Source organism: Homo sapiens, chromosome 1 (assembly GCF_000001405.40).
Source record: "Homo sapiens chromosome 1, GRCh38.p14 Primary Assembly".
Lineage (NCBI taxonomy): Eukaryota > Metazoa > Chordata > Mammalia > Primates > Hominidae > Homo > Homo sapiens.
Genome location: NC_000001.11, coordinates 39,267,657 through 39,287,884, shown reverse-complemented (window position 1 = coordinate 39,287,884; position 20,228 = coordinate 39,267,657). Strand labels below are relative to the sequence as shown.

At 40.9% G+C, this 20,228-nt stretch overlaps 1 protein-coding gene across 2 annotated transcripts in view; it reads right to left on the bottom strand.

The window, feature by feature from the left end:
- MACF1 (microtubule actin crosslinking factor 1) overlaps nucleotides 1-20,228 on the bottom strand; it is a 402,972-nt gene that overhangs the window by 199,254 nt on the left and 183,490 nt on the right. For both annotated transcript variants that reach the window (NM_012090.5, NM_001394062.1), the window contains 9 exons: nucleotides 5,511-5,677; nucleotides 4,584-4,696; nucleotides 4,370-4,476; nucleotides 3,700-3,819; nucleotides 3,457-3,552; nucleotides 2,675-2,802; nucleotides 2,495-2,588; nucleotides 2,127-2,281; nucleotides 323-599 (listed from right to left, as the gene is read on the bottom strand). In NM_012090.5, coding sequence (NP_036222.3) covers nucleotides 323-599; nucleotides 2,127-2,281; nucleotides 2,495-2,588; nucleotides 2,675-2,802; nucleotides 3,457-3,552; nucleotides 3,700-3,819; nucleotides 4,370-4,476; nucleotides 4,584-4,696; nucleotides 5,511-5,677 — 1,257 coding nt within the window. The remainder of the gene's footprint in view (nucleotides 1-322; nucleotides 600-2,126; nucleotides 2,282-2,494; nucleotides 2,589-2,674; nucleotides 2,803-3,456; nucleotides 3,553-3,699; nucleotides 3,820-4,369; nucleotides 4,477-4,583; nucleotides 4,697-5,510; nucleotides 5,678-20,228) is intronic.

The window sequence follows — 20,228 nt, the reverse complement described above, 5'->3', positions numbered from 1 at the left end:
TTGTGCCAACCTCATCCATGCAAGATTTAAGGAGAAGGGGGCTTGGGTCTCAGGCAGCATCAATAATTAAGAAAGTCAAGCCAGGTATGGTGGCATATACCTATTGTCCCAGCTACTCAAGAGACTGAGGCAGGAGGATCACTTCAGCCCAGGAGTTCCAGTCCAGCCTGGGCAACATAGCAAGACCCCATCACTCAAATAAAAGAATAATAATAATTAAGGGAATCTGCACAGGGAACACAAAGCAATTTGGTCCTCTTAGATAAGCTTCCAGATCCAGTAAACATCAGTGTACTGCATAAGCTTTTGGATATGCACCCACCTGCATCTCTTCTACCCAAGACAGTAGTTCATACACAAATCGGAGATTGCCTTCATCTTCAGAGGAGCTGATGGCCACAAGTTCAGCCCGAGTCATAGGCTTTCGGAACCAGGAGGTAGAAGAAGAATGGGTTGCCTTGGTTAAGGGTTCTGCTTTCAGATGAGTGGTGGTTAAAGTAGAGGGTGGAACCAATTCAAGTGAAGTGAAATGACCCTTCCGGTACAGGTTTGTACACTCTAGACGCAAGGTGACCAGCTCATCCTGAAGACGCATGACCCTGAAATGGAAGAAGAGAAAAAAGGAAAGGATTTAAATCTATAGTATAGTTTTTAAAAATAAAATCTTCCTTATCCATTTGACAAAGATATGATAAAAATAAAAATGAGCCAGCCTAGACAACATGGTGAAACCCCGTCTCTACTAAAAATACAAAAATTAGCCGGGTGTGGTGGCACATGCCTGTAGTCCCAGCTACTCAGGAGGCTGAGGTAGGAGAATTGCTTGAACTCAGGAGGCGGAGGTTGCAGTGAGCCGAGATCACACCACTGCGTCCCAGCCTGGGTGACAGAGCAAGACCTTGTCTCAAAAAAATAAAAATAAAAATAAAAATAAAAATGAGATCATAGAAGGAAAAGTGTTTAGAAAGTGTTATATGAATACAAGGTGATATTATGAACATCTTCATCTAGTTCAGAATTGTTTTTAAGACAAATGCCAAATTACAGTGTTAACTGGAGGGAAGCTAACAATACTATTTATATAACTCCCAAATATAATAAACAATGGATTAGGGGTCAAGAGATGTGGGTCCTAGTCTTGGCTCTGTAAAACTAGCCTTGGGAGGCTGAGGTGGGTGGATCACAAGGTCAGGAATTCAAGACCAGCCTGGCCAACATGGTGAAACCCCGTCTCTACTAAAAATACAAAAATTAGCTGGGCATGGTGGTGCACTCCTGTACTCCCAGCTACTCCGGAGGCTGAGGCAAGAGAATTTCTTGGACCCAGGAGGCAGAAGTTGCAGTGAGCCGAGATCGTGTCACTGCACTCCATCCTGGGCTACAGAGCAAGATGCCATCTCAAAAAAAAAAGGGGAAAAAAAAAACTAGCCACATGACTTTACATAATTTTCATCTTCTGTGGGTCTCAATTTTCCCCCCTATAAAAAGAATGTGATGGATCACCAATGTTTCTAAATCAGAAGTTGTGTTGTGTCCCAACCCTGCAGGTCGTTCTAAAATATATGAGAATGGGCCAGATATAGTGGTTCACGCCTATAATCCCAGCACTTTGGGAGGCTGAGGCAGGAGGATCGCTTGAACCCAGGAGATTGAGATCAGCCTGGGCAAAATGGCAAAACCCCGTCTCTACTAAAAATACAAAAATTAGCTGGGCATGGCAGCCTGCACTTATAGGCCTAGCTACTTGGGAGGCTGAGGTGGAAGGATCGCTTGAGCCCAGGAAGTCGAGGCTGCAGTGAGCCATGATTGTGCCACTGCACTCCAGCCTGGGCAACGAAAGTGAGACCCTGTCTTTGATTAATTAAAATAAAGTATGTGGGATGTTACAAAAGGCCACAATGATTGAAGTAATCCTATAGGTACTTAGTGGGATGGAGCTGCAATAAGGGGAAACTGTCCTCTACTGACAAAACATTCCTGCCCAAGAGACCTGTAGTATCCCCATTGAGACACTGACCTCAAATGTCCAGGTTAAAAGATTAAGTGCCTGACTCTTGCTCTACTCTTGATCCATGAGCCTCAGCAGTAAGCAAGCAAGCCCTCCATTTGAGTCCCTTGTTCCTCACCTAAAAGCCAGCTCTTCTAGCTGGTAGTAATTCTCATCCCGCAGGATCTGGAGATCCACCTGCAGCTGCCTGATGAGACCTTCACACTCCTGAATGTACATAATGACATCTGACTCACATTGTACCGGTTGTCCTGATTCCAGGTGAGCAGCATCCTGAGACAGGAAGAGAGAATAACAGTGGGAAAACTTCCATTGCCCCACTCACTAGGACAGAGGGAGCCAAGAAGTCTACTGCAATTCCAAAAAAAAAAAAAAAGGGAAATAATACATCTGGATTCCTCGATTGCTAACTTCAACAATTAGAGCAGAGGGTGAGAAGCAGGAAACATGTGACACAGATGTTGGACAAAACAGTCAGAGACTTACAGCCTGCAGTGTATTCTTAGCTAGTGTCAGTTTTTCTTCACAGTTCAAAGCACCATTCTGGATTTTGTTTGCAATCTGTAGCAGCAATTCCAGCCTGAAATAAGATAAAACCATAGTCATGTGCAAGGTTCACAGCAGCTCAATAAATAATGTCAGACCACTCTCAGGATCTGGACCCACCTCTCCACAGCCGGCCGAAGTGATTTCTCTCGTTCCAGCATCTCTATGATGAGCTTTCCCCACTCTTCTTCCACATCATTAGGGTGATAACCTTGAGGCAGTTTAATTCGGCCAAATTCAATCCACACCTGAAACAGATACTCTTTCAGTCCAAAAACACAGCCATGCCCTCTTGTCCCAGTTTTGATTTATTATTTGCACATCACTTCTTGCTTCTTTACCCAGCCATTCAGCAGTTTTTCCTATTGTCTAACATGGAAAAACAATCAAATATGTATCAGGTTCTTCACCCTTGAGTTAAAGAGCAGAAAAGTCACCTCTAGAATGTAGGGACTACCTACTCTAAGTCATTCCATTCCTTTTACACTTTCTATAAATCCTCCTTTCCCCTCAATAACTTTTATTCTGGCAAGGTTAAATTCTCATTTCTACAACTTCAAATTCTCTGGGAATCAAATTCTGAATAGAAGTCTCTCTTCTTTCCACCCTAGGGAAAGATTTAGCTTCCCTCTGAGAAGCAGAAAAATTTGTCCACAAAACTCAAGATTTCTGAATAAATACATGTCATTTTTCAATAAGCCCTTTAAAAAACAGAGATGGCTGACATTGCCCCTTTACCACAACATTTTAAGACCAGCCTGAGAGTGGTGCTATTATTTGTCACCAGGAGAGTACTTCTATTAATGCAGTTTGGGAAAAGAATACAAGGAATCTATAATCAAGAAGCAACAACAGTACAGACCAGCAAACCCCAAGTCTCAGCAAAGGATAAGCTCACTTACCTCTAGTAATTTATATAATTCCTCAATTCTTCCTTTTTCTCTCTCCTTGGCCAGAATTTCTGTTTCTTTGAAGTGTATATATTGGTTATAAAGTGCCTATAAAATTAATATTTGGTGAATAAATGGACACAAACTATAGGACCCAATTTTTCATACCACCTCACCTAGAAGCCAGCAGTGATAAGCTTGGAGACTTACTCCCTAGAAAGATTTTACCAAAAAAATTTAAGTCCTTGACTTTACCTTTAGTTCAACAGGGTTTTGGGGAAAAGTTTTATCTGACATCAGTATTGTATGCTGTTTGATCCAGGGAATGAGGGAGTCCACTCGGCTTTGGTATTCTTGCCACCTGGAGTCCACTTCCTATTGCCAGAAGGTAAACATCACACACCTGATTAGCAATATCCAAAACAAGCACAAGAGAAAGTAGCTCAGGCCACTCCAAACTATATAAAATCCATTTCCTTTAATTGCCTAGATGCTGCTCAGTTTAATGCTCACAGTACTAGCTTCAAAGCTCCTCAAGGGCTCTCAGGATGGGGTTCAATTTCCTGACACTAAGAAAGGCTACAAACCAAGCTACTAAAAATATTCTGAAAAGAGCCATGATCTACCTAATCAAGCTGATACATAAGTGACTGATAAAACACTTCCTCATCTTGAATTACAGCTGGGGATGAAAGAGACATTCTTTGCTGGCATTTAGCACCAAATAGTCTATGCTAATTGTTACAAAATTAGCAATATCTAGACTCATTTCCAGGGCCAAGGATAATGTCCATGTATGATAAAGATACTGGATATATAGTTTGATACCATGAGTATACCATAAGTGCTTAAGAAAGTGTCTAACCAATGCATTTCACCCAAATGAATCAAAGTCAGAAGGCCTTCTAGGAAAATGTTCTTTTACCGTAGCACTGATCCCTTCTCCACCCTCAGGAACTTTAGGGAAGGCATCATAAATCGAAGACACATAAGTGATTACAGACTTTTCATCTGGAGATGGCACATCCACATCTGAGAGAGAATGGACAAGAAATTTCTTAGTCAGAACAAAGGAACTTGCCAGAAGAAGGAATACTGAATACGTGTTCCTTACTCAAGTTCAGTAAACTCCCTCTCACCTTCTGCATCCAGCAGGCGAGTGACCCCCAGTCTTTCTGCCACTTCAAAAGCCTGTTCCAGATTCTCTCGGTTACTTTGGATTTGCACCCTCTCCATGTCTACTAGATCGGGTCTGTAAAAGTCCAGCAAGGCACATGAAACGCCACCATCTACACATCACACATGAGTTTACACAAAGAAAACCTCCTGAAAGTTCCCAGAGCTGAAAAACACTAAGTGAGTTAGAGAAAAAGCAGGAGGTTTAGAAGAGTACAAATTCCATTTTTAAGTATACACCAGGGGCCCAGTGCTCCCTAATGCTAAACTTAAACATACAGTTTAGGTTTGTTGAATGTCATGGGAAAAATATCGTCGGTTAGAACTGAAAATTGGGGCATGTTTATGACCACTAAGAACTCAACAATTTTTATTTTTGTCATTCAGAATTCCTATCGTCCTCACCTCACTTCAGCCACCTGCTGTCCCTAAACCACTCTAAGCAAGCCCTCACTCCAGGCCCTTTGCATTTGTATTTCTTCCGACTGGAACACTCTGACCCCAGAAGCCTGGATGACTCACTCCCTCATGGCTCTGCTTTAACACGCTCACCAAAAAGGCCATCTCTGACCACCCTGTCCAAAGTACCACAAACCTCTGCCACTTTCTAATCCTGCCATTGCATTTACCACTGCTTGATGGCATACATTTATTACCTATTCTCCCTACTGAAAGATAAGTTCCATGAGAGCAAGAACTTTCGCTGTTTTCTTCACTGCTACTTGTACCCAGTTCCTAGAAAAGTAGTTAAATAAATGTTTCTTTTTCAAATGAACAAATGAATCAAAGCTTTGATTTTTGATTGAGGAGATGGAAACAGTATTATAACTAATTACAAACAAGAGATGAGAAAAAGCCCTGCAGGAGCACAGAAATTCCACTGTTCTTACCGGTATCGGTGAATGAGTGCATTGAACATCTTCCCATCACTCCAGCAGGAGGAAAAGTTGGTGCATTTGATTCCTGTGTAACCAGCTGTCACCTTCTGGGTCCACAGGAGTAGTTTCTCCTTGGCTGACATATCCCCTGATTCTCCACTAATGTAGATGTCAGAGATCTGCCAAAAGATGGGACACAGAATAATTCATTATAAATAAGACAAAGTCTTTTAGCCTTCTCTTCTCCATACATTATGGCTCTTAGTAAAACGAAGGTCCAAGGCTGGAAGCACTTTAGAGGACTATTCCAACATATATTCCCCCTCTTGCTAGTCAAATAAATGCAAATTAAAACCATGAGAGGTAATTTTTCACCTATCAAACTAGGAAATGTTTGTTTTTAATGATATTATTCACGATTGGAGAGAAGATCTACAACTGGGTATCATCATACACCGCCACTAGTGAGAGTATAAAATGGCATAACTTCTCTGGATGTCAGTTTTGAATCAAGTCTTAAAACATACATACAACTTGATAGGAAGTCATCAGAAATATAAACAAATAATTTTATGCATGAATATTTATCAAAGCATAATAAACATGACTTAGCAAAAAGTTATAAAAAGCTTAAATTCTAATGAGGGGTTGACTGGTTATAAATCATAGCACAATTATAGCAGAATAGAATTCTTTGTAGCACCTAAAAAGTTATGCTTTAGAAAATTTCACACCAGGTGCAGTGGCTCATGCCTGTAGTCCCAGTTACTCATGAGGCTGAGGTGGGAGGATCACTTGAAGCCGAGAGATCAAGACTGCAGTGAAGTATGATCATGCCACAACACTGCAGCCTGAGTGACAGAGTGAGACTCCATCTCAAAAAAGTAAATAAAAAAGTTTTACAAAGAAAATTTTAATGACATAGGACAATGATTACCAAATTTAAGAAAAAGAATATAAACAAAATAATATAGTAATCTTGATTATTTTGTATAAAAGACATACAAAATATACATTTAAGTATACAGTCATATATATGTACAAGGCATACACACGCACCTATGTATGCAATACAGGTGCAAATACTGTACGTATGTGAGAAATACAGCAAACTAATAATCATAGTTACCTCTATGGAGTAACATTACAGGGGATTTTTATATTTTCCAAATATTCTGCATCCTGTACATTTTTATAATAAGAAAAAAGCTATTTTAAGAAATCTCCAAAATACAGCACAAGACCTATTTTAGGGAGATCATAATGCAGGTGAGGAAAAAGTGCATGTCTCATGTGTGCAAAGTGGGACTAATACCACCTTTTCAGGGTTGCTGTGATAATCAGCGAGATTACACATTAAAGCACCTAACCCAAACTCAGGGTTATGCTCAACAAATAAGGGTTCCCTTATCTCTTCCTTATTTGAAGGCTGGTCTTCCTTCGATTCTTACTTGTCTAACTCCCACAGCACTGACAGTCTGTATCATCATCTAATTAAATGTTATTTTGGGCTGTGTGCAGTGGCTCACGCCTGTAATCCCAGCTCTTTGGGAGGCTGAGGCAGGCAGATCACCTGAGGTCAGGAGTTTGAGACCAGCCTGGCCGACATGGTGAAACCCCATCTCTACTAAAAATATAAAAATTAACCAGGCATGGTGGCACGCACCTGTAGTCCTAGCTACTTGGGAGGCTGAGGCACGAGAATCGCTTGAACCCAGGAGGTGGAGGTTGTGGTGAGCTGAAATTGTGCCACTGCACCCTAGCCTGGGCGACAGAGTGAGACTCTGTCTCAAAAACATAAAAATAAATAAATAAATAAATGTTATTTTGCATTATGGACTATTATTTCATATATTTAATCTTATCTCCCCTAGACTGCACGTTTCCTGAGGGGGGCTGGCACCACATCTTAACAACCAGAGCAATATAAAACTGAACAGCAAACCCTATGTGGGAGAGCTCCTCGCCACTGGACGTGTCAAGCAGAAACTAAGATGCTGTGAACGAAATAACTTCCAAATCTGAGAATCATTGATCACAGTCCTTTGGTGCATTGCCCATTGCACTTAGTGTTGTGCTGGTTGTATGGTGGGACCTTAACATGTTTTAATTAATAATAACTTGGTTTATGAATGAAATAATAAAAATAAAATGAAATAATAAAAATAAGCAAATAAAAGTATTTTGGGGGCTGGGCACAGTGGCTCACACCTATAATCCCAACATTTTGGGAGGCCGAGGCAGGTGGATCACCTGAGGTCAGGAGTTCGAGACCACTCCCGCCTAGGTGACAGAGCGGGACTCTGTCTCAAAAAAAAAAAGTATTCTGGCATAAAGCCCACCTAGAATCTGTAGACAGGTTACTTAGCTAATTCAAAGCACTGTGTAAAGTAAACAAGTTTATATTTGTCTCCTCTGGAGTGGGACTATGAATGACTTTAGTTTTTCTTCCTACTCTTCTTTTTTTCAGACTTCGAGTAATGACCACACTTTATTTTTATAATAAAAAGTATAAAAACAATCCTTGTTAACAAGGAAAAATGTTAAGCCTTTCATTCAGACAGATATGTGTTTGAAAGAAGGCATTTACTAGAAATGTGACCTCAGGCAAACCATGTAAGCCTCCTGGCCCAATTTTCCCCATATTTAAAATAGGATAATAACTTTCTCAAAGGATCATTATAAGGATTAAATAAGATGATGTAGATAGTGCCGAGGGTACATGTATTCCCTTCCCATAATAATAAGACAGCATACCCAACACAATTTTTGGTCTGGGTGTTGGGGCAGAGAAAACACCGGCATGTCAATAGAACATCCTGTCTCTTAGTCGTCTCTATCAGGTGCAGTACCATGAAAGTAGTAGCTTCCCTTGTGATCAATACAAGGGAGAAGTCAATAATAAGTCATCTCCAAGTGTCTGAATTTACAAACTCATAATAGATGAGATTAAATATCAGATGATATTTTAAAATTGGAAAAAAAAAAGGGCCAGGAACTTTAACACTATATTTAGAATAAAAGAAAGCTGCAGGCTACTAAATATTACTAAGATGTCTGAAGAAAGACCGTGAGAATAGAAGAGTATGGGAAGCTTGCATTGAGTACAGAAAAGGGAAGCCAGGAAGTACTGCCTCCATGCCTGTGAAGGTGAAACTGTACCCTACCCAGCAGATTCAAGGGACATAGGATCTTATGCCCTTGACAGGTACATTTCTACAGAAGAAATCAGACTATTCTACTTTGATGATGCCAGCTAATAAGCCCATCCTACAAATCATTCCTCTACTCACCACCTCTCTGCTCTGACTGCATGTTCACCTGACAACCTTCAGATTATTATTTGCTTCCCATATAGATATTCTAAAGCAACAAAAGCAGTAAGTGGCCAATTCAAATTCTTGAATCACTTGGCAGTTAAAATTTATTTTGTAAATTAATAAATTCACATAGACCAATCTCAAGCAAATGTGATCAGTGTGAGTCAGTTTACTAAAACTATTAATCAACTCCAGATCTACCTGGGGCTGGGGGAGGGGCGGTAGTGGGGAGAGAAGCTATGGAGCTGCAGAGCCAAGGACACAATAATGGATCACGGCTCTTCCTATAAACAGCTTCTTCCTAGTACCAATTCTATTTCAGTTCCCCTTAACATTTCTAGCTACCTATTTCACTGGCTAAATGCAACATTGATATATCCCACTGCCTTCACTGTAGCTGCTTCACGTACATATTAAAGTAAAACATTATTGGGAACAGGAAATAGATTTGTTGATGTAAAACAAGACAGAACTTGAATAAGCAAAACAAAATCTGAGTATTTGGGTTCTTCACCCAAAAATGAAATTCCAGTTAGTTAATTGATATTGTATGTTCATTACAGCCATAATCTTTCTAATAACATCTCTCATTTCTTAGTATTTCTGTATATTGCACTAAAACTACTTCAATGAACAGCTTTACTTCAGATTTTAAACATAGTTGTAATGAGATAGATGTTTGGATCCCTAAGGGAAAGAAAAATAAAATACCTGTTTGGATTAGGGCCATTACCTAGACTGGAAACTGGATGAGAAAAATGGGATTATCATCACAACCATCTCAGTAATTAAATTTGGCTTTCATCAATCTCTTTCTGTATACTCACACATGATATGTGTGCACAGTACTGTGCTCTGGGCTATGCAGAAGCTTTTACCTTAATCTCCCAAATGCAGAAATCCAGCTTTAGTTTCAGAGATCTTTCTCCCTCATCTGGGCTTTTTAAGGAGGAAGCCATTTGGAGAGGGAGAACAGCCTCAACAGTATGCCTGAGAATATGCAAATTCCACTTGAATTTCCTTTCATCTCACACTTCCCAAAGCTTGGTTAATTGCTTCTCTGAAGTATTCCCAGAAGCTGAATGTTTTCCTAATAATTCAATAAGTATTGACTGAACAACATCTTAGCACTATGACTGGCACCATGGAGAAGAACAAGAAAAGACACACCACTTACTTATACTGTTAATATTTTTTGAGCAACCATTATATTCTAGGAGCTGTGCTTAAATTCTTGATATCTCAAAATAAAAAAACACAGCCTCAGGCCTCAAGTTCAAGCAATTTAATCAGGGAGACAATTTACTATACAAAGAGATCAATGTTGTGACAGAGGTAAGCAAGTAATCCAAACTAGCAATGCCAGAGGATTGCTCAGCAACAACAACATCTGTGCTGAGTTTTAATAAGTAGAAGTTGGCCAGGTAAAAAGGTGGAAAACAAAAAAAGAAGACATGCTTGGCCTGCAAGAACTTAGTTGAGACATGCCATAACTAACATATGATTATCCCAAATATTTTCCCAGATAACAACAGATGTATGAAGGTAAAACAGGAATACAGGAAGGGAAGCTCTGTAGTCCTCCTGAATACCCAAACTTTTAGAAATTTATTTACACATATACACATATTTAAAATTAAGCAGTATATTTAAGCATTTAGTATTAATGTATTTTCTGCCTTTGTAATTTCAAAAAACTGTATTATTCAAACTTCACATGCATCTTTAACATCAATGTTTTTTCCTTCAATAAAGCTATCTTTTTAGTGAATTTTCTAGAAAATACTGTCTACTTTTCTAAGATTTTAAAGTTAATAACAGCACTTTTCTGAATCTACATTGTCTCTGGGTATTTCATTTCAAACCACAAGAGTCCAGTTACATAACACTGGATTAGGGTTTTTTTTTTTTTTCATTCATTCTGCTGTGTTTATTTGTGATCCCCATAATGTATGTGTATGTTTCATATGCAATGTGAGTGATTCAAAAAAAAATTTTAATGTTAAGGCTTGTATACAATTACTTTCAACACTTCAAATTAGGAGATTATATTCCCAGGAACAATAACTAAAACTTTCTTAGATTTTTCATTCCTCTTTTTTGTTTAATCAATTATGTCAGTTGATCTCTACAAAAAAATGATAGTGATTGAACTAGCAGATGGTGACATAGATTTATTCACCCTTTTTCATGAACTGACTATAAGCTCCCTGGAAGCCTAATAACAAGAAATGCTTTATAAGAAGTAAAATATAAAGAGAATATCTCTTTTCTGAAGGTTAATTTCTGGACGAAAAAAATCTCATATCTATGGTAGGTCACATGAAATAGTTAAACAAATTTATAGCCAAAAACGACCAATAATTATAGTAATATCCAATACAGAATCTCAGCAGAATGGAAAATTACTGTGGGCTGGAGGATTTCTAGAAGTACCATATAAACTCATCCTTGAAGGGTGTTACAGAACAGGTGAAAGCCAAGGAAGAAAGGAATTCCACGTAGAAAGTGGATGTAAACAAACTGAGATAAGGTGAAACAGAAATAGTAGTTAAGGGACTGATCTGTTAAAATGAGAAGGTTTAAATTGGGAACCGATAGAAAAGATAAGATAGATTACAAAGGAACTGGTAATCTATCTTATCTTTATCCCAGCTGAGGAGTTTCGACTTGGTATCTTATCTTATCCCAGCTGAGGAGTTTGGACTTGGTAAGTCTCTCAGTGGATGAGACGAGTTGTTCTGAGCAAGTAAGTACTTGATTATTATGTCCTCAAGTTTCTAGCTGACCTCATCACCCACTAAAGATAAAGCATCAGACCTTGAAAACTTTCAAGAAGCAAATGAGGGCTGGGTGCAGTGGCTCACTCCTGTAATCCCACCACTTTGGGAGGCATAGGCAAGAGGATCACTTGAGCCCAGGAGTTCAAGACGAGCCTGGGAAACACTGTGAGAAATTGTCTCTACAAAAAATTTAAAAATTAGCTGGGTGTGGTGGTACTCCCCTGTAGTGCCAGCTACTTGGCAAGTTGAGGCACGAGGATCGTTTAAGCCCAAGATGTCAAGGTTGCAGTGAGCTATGATTGCACCACTGCTCTCCAGCCAGGTGTCAGAGCAAGATTCTTTCTCAAAAAAAAAAAAAGAAGAAGAAGAAGCAGATGAAGGCACAATGCAGTGGTTCTACAAATGCCCAGCTAGAGGGATCTAATGGCAGCTATGTTGGTGAGGAACAGAGATAAAGAAGGTGTTTATTACCAATATTAGAGTTAGGTAAAAGGGAGTGCTCCTTTCAGTATTCACATTCAGAGTCCTGGAGGTCTCACTAGGGAATATAATTAGAATGGAAACCCTAGGTAATAGAACATGGGCATTTTTCAACTCTACAAAATATTGTCAAACTACTTTCTAAAGAACAGTAGCAAATTATACTTCCACTTAAGTGCTATGAAGAGGTTTTCCCATCACTCTTCATCCTCGCCTACACTTGGTATTTTCAGAATTTTTACCTTCTGCCAATCTGATGGGTATAAAATGGTATCTTAGCTAGGCATGGTGGTGTGCTTGCAGTCCCAGCTACAAGCTTGAGTCCAGGAGTTTATGGCTACTGTGCGCTATGATGGTACCTGTGAATCGCCACTGCTCTCTAGCCTGGGCAACATAGCTGAGACCTCATCTCTTTAAAAAAAATTACAGGCGCAGTGGCTCACACCGTAATTCCAGCACTTTGGGAGGCAGAGGCGGGCGGGTCACGAAGTCAAGAGATCAAGACCATCCTGGCTAACACAGTGAAACCCCGTCTCTACTAAAAATACAAAAACAAAATTAACCGGGCATGGCGGCGGGCGCCTGTAGTCCCAGCTACTCGGGAGGCTGAGGCGGGAGAATGGCGTGAACCTGGGAGATGGAACTTGCAGCGAGCCGAGATCGCGCCACTGCACTCCAGCCTGGGCGACAGAGCGAGACTCTGTCTCAAAAAAAAAAAAAAAAAGTATCTTATTGTTGTTTGATCTGTATATCCTTATTAGTAAAAAGGAGTCTTCTTATGTATATGAGGCATTTGGATTTCCTTTTTTTGTGAATTGCTTATTCCTGGGCTTTCCCCTATTTTTCTACAAGGGTGTTTGTCTTTTTCTTATTCATTTTCTTGTTCTTTTAAGTAATAATATTAACTAGCATTTATTGTGATTACTTGTATTAATTCATATTATTCTCACAACAACCCTACCAAGCATATGCTATTCTTATCTTCCATTTACAAATAAGGAAATTGTAGCACAGAGAAGTTTAGTAACCTGTTCCAAGTTATACTGCTAGTAAGTTGCAGAATTGGGATTCAAACCTAGCCAATCTGGCTCCATGCTCTTAATCACTTTATCTATAGGATAGTAACCCCTTTTCAGTAGTCATCCATGGAGAATTGGTTCTAGGACCTCCCTCAGATACCAAAATCCGCAGATACTGAAATCCACAAATGCTCAAGTCCCAGATACAAAATGAGGTAGTATTCACATACAACCTGTGTACATCCTCCCAGCTACTTTAAATAATCTCTAGATTACTTATAATTCCTAATACAATGTAAATGTTAGTAAATAGTTGTTATCTTGTTTAGGGAATAATGAAGTCTGTACATGTTCATTACAGATGCAATGTTTTTCTTCAGAATATTTTCCATCCGTTATGGGTTGAATCCCCAGACGCAGAACCCACAATGCAGAGAGCCAACTGTATATGTATTATATCATAATTTTACCAGTATTATTACATTTTTATTTTTATACAACTTATTTTGCCTAACTTTCCATTTTATTTTTATACAATTTTATTTTTTAATTTCATTTTATTTTTATACAATTTTTTTCTTAATTTTCTATTTGAAATGGAAATTTTCAAATATATACAAAAGGAGACAGAATAGTATAATAAGTCCCTATGTACCTATTACCCAGTTTCAACCATTATCAACTCATAGCTAATCTTGTTTCATCTACATCCCACCCACTTCACCCTTCCCCTATTATGATAAAGTAAATCTCCTGTTTTTCTCTAAAAACATTTCAGTATGTATCTGTAAAAGGCCTTTTTTAAAACATAACCACAACACTATTGTTACACCTAAAAAATAATGATTCTTTAGTAACATTTTTAATTAAGTAAAATTTTTTTAAAAAGAAACAAGGCTGGGCGCGGTGGCTCACGCCTGTAATCCCAGCACTTTGGGAAGCCGAGGCGGGCGGATTACGAGGTCAGGAGATCGAGACCATCCTGGCTAACACGGTGAAACCCTGTCTCTATTAAAAATACAAAAAATTAGCCGGGCATGGTGGCAGGCGCCTGTAGTCCCAGCTACTCTGAGGCAGGAGAATGGCGTGAACCCGGGAGGCAGAGGTTCAGTGAGCTGAGGTAGGGCCACCGCATTCCAGCCTGGGTGACAGAGCAAGACTCCGTCTCAAAAAAAAAGAAAAAGAAACAAAATCCTTTCTTAAAGTTCTAAACTATAACTTTACCTTCTGCATTCCCCCAATAGTGTCATCTGGTTAATTTTGCTTTCTTCTTTCAGTACAAAGCCAGTATTAGTAAAACAACTCTCCCTATAATTAAAAAGGAAAACTGGGAGAGGGATACTTGTAAACTGAAAAGGCTGAGCCCAGAAGATAATACACCAACCAACCTCTTTCTTATCATTTCTAGGCCCCAGTGTTATCTGACTATTCACCTAAAATTGTAGAGACTCGAAGGGTTGTGGCAAGAACACTGGTATATAGCTGGGCGTGGTGGGGGCGGGCGCCTGTAATCCCAGTTACTCGGGAGGCTGAGGCAGGCGAATAGCTGGAACCCGGGAGGCAGAGGCTGCAGTGAGCCGAGATCGCACCACTGCACTGCAGCCTCGGTGACAGAGCCAGACTCCGTGTCAAAAAAAAAAAAAAAAAAAAAAATTGGTATAGAGGTAAATGCTTCATTAAATGGGATTCGCTAACAAGGTGGGCAGGAGCTTGGCAGCAGAAGTCAAGATGGGGAGGAGGAAGGGATTTTCAAAAATGTTCCTTGTTGAAATAAGCCAGGTATTAGTAGTATGGATATTGAAAGCAGCTGGGAATAGGGAGTCCTGAGAGAAGAAATGGGCCAGAGAAGAAGGCCTTTGTCTGACATCAAAGAGCGATTGCTATTAGCCTGTTCCCATCCAGCTCCAAATCCTAGTCTACTTGTCATTCTGAAAACATATTTGTCAGCTGACCCTTGTCATCTTGCTTCTGTGTTAACTATTTCTTGACAAAAGAAGTATTAACTGTACTAGGTGAATAGAAAAGCAGATCATGTATATTCTACTATCTAAACCCTACACTAGCAAGAAGCACAATCAGTTCCCATTTCTCTCCATCCTAAAAAGCAACAAAACCCATGGTGAAGTTTATGTCTATCCATAGCCTGGTCTCACTCTCATCAACAAGCCCTGGACTAATCAACAGAGGAGACAGTCTGGCTGGAACTCAAATTATTTTCTGAGGATAGTTACTACTCTGACATATTAAAAACAAAACCACCACCAAAAAAGCAAGCAAAAAACAACTCAATTGGACTGCCAGCTGTCTCCTGTTTAGACAGGAGTTGGTGTGTGAACAGCAGCAGCTGCTCTTCTGACCCTTGCCCTCCCAGCTTTCCCACTTTAGCAGAGATGCTCTTGCCCTGCCTATCGGTTTCAGTATGCGTTGCCCTCTCTGTTTCTCTGGCTGCTACTGTCCTCAAGCCTGTGAACAGCCTGTTAGGGAGGGGAGCAGCTCCCTGAAGACAGTTCCTTCAGGGACCAGTGAGAGTTGCAGCCTCTTGGCCTTAAGGACTTTCATTCTGAAGGAATGTCACACTTATCTTGATAAGTTACTTCTTATCTGTCATATAGGATGGTGAGTCTGTGGTCCCTGTATCACATGATGGACACAAAACCTGGAAATATGCCAGGTGTCTGAGCTGAGACTCGGTCACTTAGTTTTTCAGCCTTGGCTATACATAAGTAGTATGACTGTGTCTGCAGTGAAAAGGTAGAAGGAATAGATGCAGAGGTTGGCTACCCAGAAAATGCCACACACCAATTTGAATCATACTGAACAGCAAAGGAATCATACTGTTGCCAATATGGTCACACTACAGATCATGGTCCAAAGGTTTCTCCTAACAATCTTTTCTTTAAGACTCCTCACAGACTCATGCAGAACATTCCCTTGCCAGTGTGGAGATCCAGCCCATACAAAGGTGCCATTGCTATCTATGGTCTATTATCTAGGATTGATTTTACTAGGAGTTCCTAAAACTTTATATGCCAAATTTCTGAAAATCTCACACTCAGTTACAAGCATGTGTCCTATAATGTTATGATGACTACACAATTTCAATTTTAATGCCAGTTGTACAACAATCAGTTCCACAGCTGGTTTTACCCCCAACTACTCTATCTGTTCCAACTTTTACAAGATAAAAGTTGACTTTGACATTCTTTTTTATCTGATGAAACCCAAATACTTGTTGATATGGTTTCAATCTGTGTCCCTACCAAATCTCATGTTGAATTGTAATCCCTAATACTGGAAGTGGGACCTGGTGGGAGACGACTGGATCATGAATCATGAAAGTGGATTTCTCATGAATGGTTTAGCACCATCCCCTTGGTGCTGTTCTCGTGAGGGTAGGTGGGTTTTCATGAGATTCGGTCATTTAAAAGTGTGTGGCACATCCCACCCACAACCTCTCGTTCCTGCTGTAGCCAAGTGACATGCCTACTGCTCCTCTGCCTTCCACCAAGATTGTAAGTTTCCTCAGGCCTCTTCAGAAGCTGAGCAGATGCCAGCATCATGCTTTCTGTACAGCCTGCAGAACTGTATACCAATTAAACCTCTTTACTTTGTAAATTACCCAGTCTCAGGTATTTATTTATAGCAATGCAAGAATAGCTTAATACATTCATGCGCCCCATATCCCAGTAGTTTCACTGCCTTCCTTCCTACCATAACACAACTATCACACTCCCCACCACACATATCCATGTTTATATGAGGCCCAAGAAACCTCTTGCCCATCCATAAAATAGATATTTTTTCAATGGCCACTTTTTCTTCAACCTGTTGGGAGTCTCCAAACTCTAATAACAGAGGGCACTAAGATGGGGCTGTCTGTGGGGAAAATGTATCCCCAAAGAGGAAATTCTAGGCACAGATTGCTCAGAATTTGTATCTATCCTCAGCCTTATGCTGCTAGTGATAGGCAGGGCACCAGTAGGTAGACCATATCCCTGCTCTGCAAACATCAGGGCCCCTGTACAGTATCAGTGGCCCCCATCTAGGCAAGGAAAGTGCCCTACCTCATTTTATAAATTTTGCACTTTGAAGTCCTAATGTTTTTATTTCTTCTGCTGCAGAGGCCAACATCCCAGTAAAAGTTCTTTAGCCATTGGTGAATTATAACTTCAATCACCCACACAATCACACACCTACATGCCAGATGCTGTGCTACCCATGGTCTTGCTGAGTCCTTATCTCAGTGTTCACATCTCTGAATTCTCACTTGCTCCTTGACCTTTAAAACATTCACAGAAACTGCCATTACCACCACCACCAGCAGCACCATCCATGCCTCAATATATTCCTCAAAACAAAATCATGTTAAAGCCCTAAATACATCCAGTCACAAAACAAACTTTTCTAGCCTTAAACCTTCAAATTGCCCTAACCTCCCTCTCTCTCTCTCAACTAATCCCCAGATAACTCTGTCCCTCTCCTCTAATCCTGGAATTAGGAACCAAAGAAGGATGAGCCCTCTCCACCTATACAAATACTGAATGAGTGCTGCCGTCAGAAATTTCCCAACAGGGATGGGATTGCATCAGCTCTAGTAAGAATATCACTCTCCTGTGAGGAAGAGCAAGTACACTGACAACAGCTGCCTGACCCCTTCCACATTTATTCCAGAGATTCATTCCAGAGATTCAGTTAGGCCCTTCCCCATCGTCTCTTGTGCTACATTACAACTTCTCGTAGCAGGGAAGCTGGTAAACAGACCTGCCTGAGAGTAAGTACTATCTAGCATTGCACCTTGAGAGATCATCCCACCAGATAGCTTGAGCAATTACGCCACTTGGCTACTCAGAATCAGGGATTCCCCAGAGACAAGTCTTGGTTTCAAGCATCAAGGGGCAGACCTGAAATAGATTCTGCTTGCTGAGCTCCAGCAGATACTAACCCACATGGGGGTAAGTTTGAGAGGCACCAACATCCTCACTGCTCACCACACTCAGCTTTAATATGTTTGAGGGCCAAGAATCCAAACAGCAGTTTGATTATCTCTTGAACATGCCCACCTACCTCTTCCAGACCCCATGATGGGGTGTGGCTTGCCTCCAGAGAAAGAGTGCCATCCTCTTCTGAGAAGGAAGTAGAGCTCTTTTCAGGTTCTGTATCTTTAGGCTGGATCCCATGTATGTGTGGCCCATCACTGCCATAGCCAGAGGAGGAGGGCAAAATGCTCACAGTCACACCACTGATGGACAAATCACTCTGAGAAGTAGGCAGTCTGGAATCCTGGGGGGGCACTTGACCCACATGGGAAGGCTCCGTGCGTCTTTGGCCTCCAGGCTGGTCCAGTAGTAATGAAGAAACAGAACATTCTATAATCCAGGAAGCTGTCTGAGGGGCACCTGAAACACTCTTGGTTCCTTCCTCCACACTCCAGCCCTCTGAAAATTGTTCTTGATTTCCTTTATCAGTGGGGTAGTCTGTCCTAGGCAAAGCACAGCTCCGAAACCCACGCTGAATATTTCCTTTCTCCACTGCAGTCTCTCCTTGCAAAGGCAGCAACACAGCCCTGCTGCTGCAGGATGCTGTCCTAGGAAATTCCACCAGTTGGCTCACTGACTTCTCGCAGTTCCTTTCTGCTGGGTTATCAAGCAGGTGAGCAATGACAGTCATCCCCTCTTCCAGGGAATCCCAGACCCCTCCAGCAACTGATGACTCATTCTCTAACAAAAGGTGGGCGGTCTGGACCTCCCCTTGGAATCTCTCCTTTACCTGTACTATCATCCCCCGATCGACTACCCGTGAGTTGGGGGCTGAGTCCCCAGGCAGCAAAATATCTGGGGGGGTATGCTCTACCCCTCCCACTCCGTCTTCCTTTTGGAGACTCTCTGTTAACTTCGTTAGGGTTTCAGTCTCTTCAATGACTCCAGTTCCTTCTGAGGTTTCTTCCTGGTGAGATGCCTCTGGAGTAGGGATTTTCTTCCCTCTCCACCTCCTTTTGAACCGAACCCTTTTCTTAGGAGATATGGGAGCCTTCTCAGGAATAGCTATTGACTCTTTCGGCTCCTTAAAACAGCCCAGTGAATTTCCCATTTCCTTCCTCTCCTAATCTCAGCAAAAACGCAGCTAAGCCAGTCCTGGGATCCCACAGAAATCCCAACCTTGGCCTCATCGGATTCGATGCACATTTAAAAACATGCACTATGCCGGCAATCCCTCCAATTCTTTCTCCCTCCCTCCCCGCCTCTCTCTGTCTCTTCCAGCCGCTGCCGATTCAGACAGCCATCTTACAGGCTCAGAGCTGCAACAAGACAAATTCAAAGCATCTCACTGCAGTTCAGAAATCACTTGACCTAAAAGCAGACAGAAACCGGATTGGCTGCAGCTTCCTCTCTCCAAATATGAGGTAATTGGAGCACTGCCCTCAGTAACACAAACAGAAAGCAAAAAGGAGCTAGAAACCAGGGGAGGGGAAAAACTAGGGAGGGCCAGGAGGAGGAGGGAAAATGTAAGTGTAAATTGAAAATGGAGGGAAAAAGAAGAGAGGCCGTGGCAGAAGGTAACGTGGAGGAAGGAGGAGGAGAATAGTACCAAAAAGGGAAAAAGCAAACCAGCTCGGCTGGTACTAACCAGCAAGGGAAGGGAAGGGCCCGGGCCAAGAAGAACCAAGCCTGGTGAAGCTGCAATTATGGCTCCCAAACTACAAAATGAAATAGATTTTAAGTGTTGCACCAAGATGCCCAAAAGAAAATATCAAGCAGATATACATATTCTGAATTTTTTCAGGTCAGAAAACAATAAAATTATTTTAATGAAATTATAACCTGAAGAAACCAGAGCCTTCTTCTTACAGTTAAGAAAAGGAACACAGACTTTAAAGATCTAGCCTTCTGGAGCATTTATTTCCCTCCTTTTTCCTATAAAAGAAAAGAAAGATCTGTTAATTCTGCCAGCCAATGACACAGACAGGAAAAATCTGGAAGTTGGTTTTGAGTACAGTAAATGAGTGCTTGGTAAAAAGAATACCACTTCTAAATACAACAGATGAACAGGGTCTCTGATGAACAATATTTGACAAAAATGTTCAATAGTAATTATTGATGCTGCCACTGCTAACATCTAATATATTTTTTG